Consider the following 5,950-nt stretch of genomic DNA (forward strand, 5'->3'; position numbering starts at 1 on the left):
GGCCTGCGAGCGCGGGCGCCGCCACAAAAGCGAAGAGGCCGCGGGGAGGCGGCTCCCGAGGACGCCGCTCCGGGCGGCCCCACCTAGATTCCGGTGACTCAGAGCGCGCCCGCCCCGACCTGCCCTGCCGGGCCGGGGCGGGCGGGGCCGCTGGTAAACAGGCTGGGTTCTGGTGACACCGGGCGGCGGCGGAAGGCGGCCCGAGGGTCCCGCGCGTCCCACAACCCTCCAGTCCCGCTCTCCTGGCCTCTCCAGGCGCGTGTTTTGTCTTCCTGGCGCACCAACATATACACTTGTTTATCTGCACAGCGCCAGCCTAATATCTGACCCCTGATGTCGCATCGTGGGGCGGTGGTCAGCAGTGCCATATCTGAGTTTTCAGCAGTGTGAGATGGGTGTTCTAATTGCACCTGTGGATAAAGGCTGCACTCCTTTGGACGCGTGCACCCAAACCCAGAAGCCCGTCCCTGACCCCTGCTGACACAGGTGATCCCTTCCTCCTAGGCTCCGCCTTTGCACCTTGGACCGTGGCTCCCCGGGTACTCTTATCTCTTTGCATGCTGTTCTTTCCTGCTGGGTTGCCAGATTTTGGAAAGCGGAGGCGATGCTGAATTTATCTGTGTATCCTTAGTGTCCGGCACCGTGTTTGGATCTCAAGGGGAGCTCAGTGAATTTGATGAATGAACATGTAATTTAACAAATGCTCGCTTCCTTTCGGAAAGGCTTCATCTGGCTTCCCCAGATAATTTCATGTCGCCTCTGCTGCAGTCCACTTCCTATCACGAATCTCTACCTATTTAAACTGCACTCTCTCTACTCTTCATTTACTATTTTGAGGTTTTTCCAAATAAAAATCATACGTCAGCATGCAACCTGCATTTAGGATCCCCCCTTCGGTGTCCTGGGCTAGCTCCCGTCGCAGTTCTGACTCCTAAGATGTGACAGGAAGGGTGGGGTGGCAGCCAGGTGTGCCGCTGAGGACAAAGGAGTTCTCAGTGTCAGGCACCTCGGTGGCCTTGGGAAAATCACTGAAACATCGTATGGGGGTCATGTCTTAACCCTGTACCTCCAAAGATTTCTTCTGAATCCCCTATTTTTTCTGTTAATTTAATATAAAAGTGGGAACTACTTAAAAATATTTTAAATTGTATTCCAATTTGATATTCTCAATAGAAACAGAATACTCTTTTGACTTATGCCATTTTCTGGCAATTCTTGAGGACGAATAAAAGCATGGAGAAAGTATCTGAAAATACATGAAATAATTTCCCTAGCCTTCATTTTACATAATTCAAGTTTTACATAAACCACGTCATATATTTTTATTACAGGAAAATATTTTCACTTTCAAAGAACACAAGAGGGTGTTCTGCCAAAAGTTAATTTTGTATCGTGGAAGCTGTGTGAAGAAAATGGTGATATTTATGTTCTCAGGGTTTTCAAAAGTAATGAAGATATTTGTTTAATTAGCTATGTATAATATATTTGTGAGAAAAAAAAATTCTTATAAGTCAAATACTGACCAGAAGCAAAGTGGCTTCAGACAAAATGAGAGTTTTGCAGGCATCTTAATATCTCTGGATAATTTTGGACTTGATATATATAATTTATTTTCGTTATTCAATGAAACCATTTCCGATGGGCTTGAGGAAAAGAGCTCATTAATGCCGAGGTGAACACAAAGAGATTAGCTCTTCACAATTTCTGGAAGAGACCACATTGACCCTGGTGGGTTTCCAACAATAATATACCCAACATGTGGTACAGACTCTGGAACCGGATGGTTCAGGTTTACACGCTTTCTCATATTCGCTGTGTGACACTGGGCAGGTTAGTTCAGTTTTTTGTGCCTCCATTTCCTCATCTGTAAGACAGACAGTGCTAACCTCAGTGTTTTAATGATTGTTAAAAGAGCAAATTCATCTAAAGTGCTCAAGATAGTTCCTGCATATAGTAAGGGTTGATGATGATGATGATGATTTTTCATATAGGTTTTCCACTTTTGAACATTGAAAGAGGGGAATGTCCATGTTTCTAAAGGGCAAATTCTATAGGTGAATACCAACTGTAAGTGACTAAGTTATTTGAGACAATGCAATCATTCATCCTAGCCATATTCATAAAATGATGGCTCATAGAGAACAGTAGGCAGTTGGATAGTTCCCCCTGCTGGACAATGTAGGGATTGCGCCTGAGCACTGAGCACTTGGCAAAAATGTAAATTGCACCTACAGAAAGTTTTTTTTTAATTGAGGCTTGACTGACATACAAAAAAGTGATATTTAATATATACAACTTGACGAATTTGAAGATAAGTACATACCCATGAAACTATCACCATAAACAAAAAGGTTTTATTTTTCTAATTTGGGGTTATGGTTATAAAACCAATGACTGTTACCAACAAAAATATATAAATAAATAATTTTAAAAATAAAAATTGGTAGAAAGTAATAGTAATAATAATAATAGCAGCTAACAAACATCTGCTGGAGTTTACTATGTCCCAGTGGGTGTTTCACATCTACCTTATGAGGCATGTACCAGCATCTCCTTCATTTACACAAGGGACTGAGGCACAACGAAGTTAAGTAACTTGCCCAAGACCATGCAGTCACGGAGTGGCAAAGCCAGGCTTCAACCTAGGCAGCCTGACAGCAGAGATAGTGCTATTCATCACAGTAAGCACTCGTAAGAGTTTATGGATGTATCCAAATGTCTCCTTTCTTCCCTTCTTTGGTCCTTGTAAACACCCAAACTACTCCTAGTTATCTCCCAAGCTGCAGTGACATGATCTCCCTGCCACCGTTCTGGGCATCTCTGTAGGACCATTGGGCCTTTGACATGGTTCTCTTGTGGCTGTCCAGTTGAGTCCATGGATGAAGTACCCTCCAGTAGATATGGAGTGATTGAGTTTCCTCTGGATGTGGCAAATGCTCCCACTGTCAACCATTTGGCAAAGATGCAGGGCCTTATTTTTCACATTGAACATTGATGAGATCACGTGATAGGTGTGGACCATTGAGAGTCCTTAATAATAGCATAGCCTGAGTTAGAACCAATAGCCATGATCCAGAAAACCAAGAGTATCTTATGTAAATTAACAGTGACTGTGAATACACAGTAAACGTCAACCCAGGATTCTTCGACCTCACCCACCCAGTCCTGCTCCTCTGACCTGATGAACACCTACTGACCCCTTGACCTCAGCAAAACTTCACTTCCACAGAAAGCCCCCAACTAGATTAAGTTCCCGTTACACATCCTCAAAGCCCTGTATGTCTTTCCTTCAAAACTTTTCTCACAATTTTAATTATATATTTATTCTGAATAATTTGTATCCACTCCCACTGCAATGTAAATTAGATGTTGACAAAAGTGTCACATGTTACCTCTCACCACTGTGTGCACAGTACCCAGTGCCTGGAACATGATAAAATTCCAAGAAACACTTGTCAAATGAACATGAGAATCTGTCTAGTCTCAAAATAACTCAGAGGGTCTCTGAGCACTCTTCCTTTTAGAGGGTCTTATTTTTAAAACTGTCATCCTTATTCTATCTCAGCATAATATCCTATGATTTTTTCCCCTTGAAATCATTGACAGATAATAAGTCTTCTAACATTAAGCGGAGATCACCTTTCTTTCATTCCTCCATCACTCATCTCTGGCATTTCTTCTCTTTGGCTGGCTGAACATCTCATGTTATTTTAACTTTTTCAGTTTCTTTGTCAATGTCTTGGCTCTTCTCTGAACAACTCCTAGATTTTAATTTCTCTCATAATATGTGGTGCCCAGAATTAAACCTAGCACTCAGGGTGTGATTTCAGCAGTGGTGAAGAGAGAGAGCTTTTGTCTCCCTCAGAGCAGATATGACACCTCTAGTAATAGAGTCCAGGTATGCATGTTTTTTTGTTGGTCTACACAGATATCCGTCATAGTAAACTTGTGCTTAACTAAAACCTCACAGATGTGATTACTTGTGCAGTTCATATTGTAGATTAGTGCTTTTCTTATGATACAATTGTTTTTATCGCTGTCATATGTCATCCCTAGAATGACCATGATGCTGGCCTGCCAGCATCTCCATCAATCTTTGTTCCTTTAGGACATTTGCTCCTTATTGCTGCTGCTTGTTTTGTGGACATGTCTTCCATATATACTCATACAAGTCACTGATGCCATTGTATTGTAAAAAGGACCAGGATTCATAGCTCATTATTTGACACTTCATTGCACATAGACAACTCTCACTGTTGGACAACACTCCTGTTTGGGGACATAAAGTAAACACCTGTGAAGCCAGGGTGAGCCACAGAAGGCAGTAGAAGGCTTCTCTGAGGAGGTGGGACTTCAGTTTTGCACAAGACAGAAAGGAGGAGGACGACTTTCCAGATTAAGTGGCCACCTTGGGTGAAGGCATGGGTTTGGGAATGGCTGTAAGTATTTTTAAGGTGTTCTATTTTTCTTTTCAGATAATGACTTTACCAGTGAACATAACCAGCCTGTAATTTAGCATTCTAAATTATGGAGACTTTTAGAAATGCAAATCTAAGGAGGGTAATACCTTTAGCCAGATTGCAAACTGCTGGCAAATCAATTCAGTGTTCTGTAACGCAATATATTATCATGTTTTTTTTCCATCATATATCAATTCAGTGATAACTTTCAATGCAAAAATATTATTGGAATACCAAATAAAAGCATTGCATTTTTTATGGCAGAGCCAGTTATTTTATACAAATTAATATGACTTTTGAAGTTACACAGTTTCCTTCTTTTAGAGTAAGTTAGATCCTACAAACTGCTGCAGTTCCTTGCTTCAGGACAATTGTGTGTGTGTTAAAGGCAGCTCTACTTTATTCTGGGGTTCCTCTAAAGCAAGATAAAGACCCCTGGATAAAAGACTTAAAATTCTGCCTTGAGGAAATTCAACATGCTAATACCAGTTTCAGGTTAAAATCATTTTTCAAATATTAAGTCTTTCCATAAATAATGGAACTGTCGGCTGAACGTGATGGCTCGTGCCTGTAGTCCCAGTACTTTGGGAGGCATAGGCAGGCAGATTGCTTGAGCCCAGAAGTTTGAAAACAGCCTGGGCAACATGGCAAAACCCCATCTCTATAAAAAAATACAAAAACTAGCCAGGCAGGGTGTTATACACTACTTGGGAGGCTGAGGTGGGAGGGCCGCTTGACCCCCGGAGGTTAAGGCAGCAGTGAGCCGAGAATTTCACCACTATACTCCAGTCTGTGCAACAGAGTGAGACCCTGTCTCAAAAAAAAAAAAAGAAAAGAAAAAAGAACTGTAAATGTAAACATTAATTCTGTACAAACTGTCCTAGTAAACAAAGCAGTAGCATTCTTTCCTAACAAGACTGCTTGAACACAAAACTTACAGGCATTTTGGTTTAGTTGTGTTCCTAAAACAGCTAAAGACACTCTGCAGGAAAACACTTAAAGGCTGATCATTTAAAGGGTCAATGATTCAAACAGCTGATTTCAAAATAAATGGTCATAGTATTGTCCCAAGAGATTCATTTCTCCATCTACTGCTGTGAGAGGTGGTTCTATAAGAGGGACTAGGCCCTACTTGTAGCCACTCCACTGTCTCTCTTTCAACCTCCCCTCCACACGGGTGTGTATGTGCACAAATGTGTGTACACATGCACCCCTGCATATACACACACAGAGTAACTGACTTCATTTGGTGTCTGTCATTAAGAAGACACGGTTTCCCTCCTAGCAGTGCACGATGCAGAACAAGCCGTGATCAGAACATCAGGCAACCTGAGTTCTAGTTCCCACTGACCCTGTGTCTCCCTGCTTGATCTCTCTTCTCCTCTGCTCATACAAACTTTTAATTATCTCCACTCTGTCACCTCCTATTCCTTCCTCAGCCTTCAGTAATCTCTCTTCACTTCAGTGGAGAGATGGAGAAAGTTTTAACC

The 5,950-nt window shown here is 42.0% G+C and overlaps 1 annotated feature.

Annotated features, from left to right (window-relative positions):
* Positions 129 to 178: a silencer, noted in NCBI's record as "silent region_17593". NCBI's record gives its function as "represses an Ori minimal core promoter by ATAC-STARR-seq in GM12878 lymphoblastoid cells {active_cell/tissue: GM12878}" and the evidence as "EXISTENCE:reporter gene assay evidence [ECO:0000049][PMID:35858748]".

This window comes from Homo sapiens, chromosome 6, assembly GCF_000001405.40.
Source record: "Homo sapiens chromosome 6, GRCh38.p14 Primary Assembly".
Classification (NCBI taxonomy): Eukaryota; Metazoa; Chordata; class Mammalia; order Primates; family Hominidae; genus Homo; species Homo sapiens.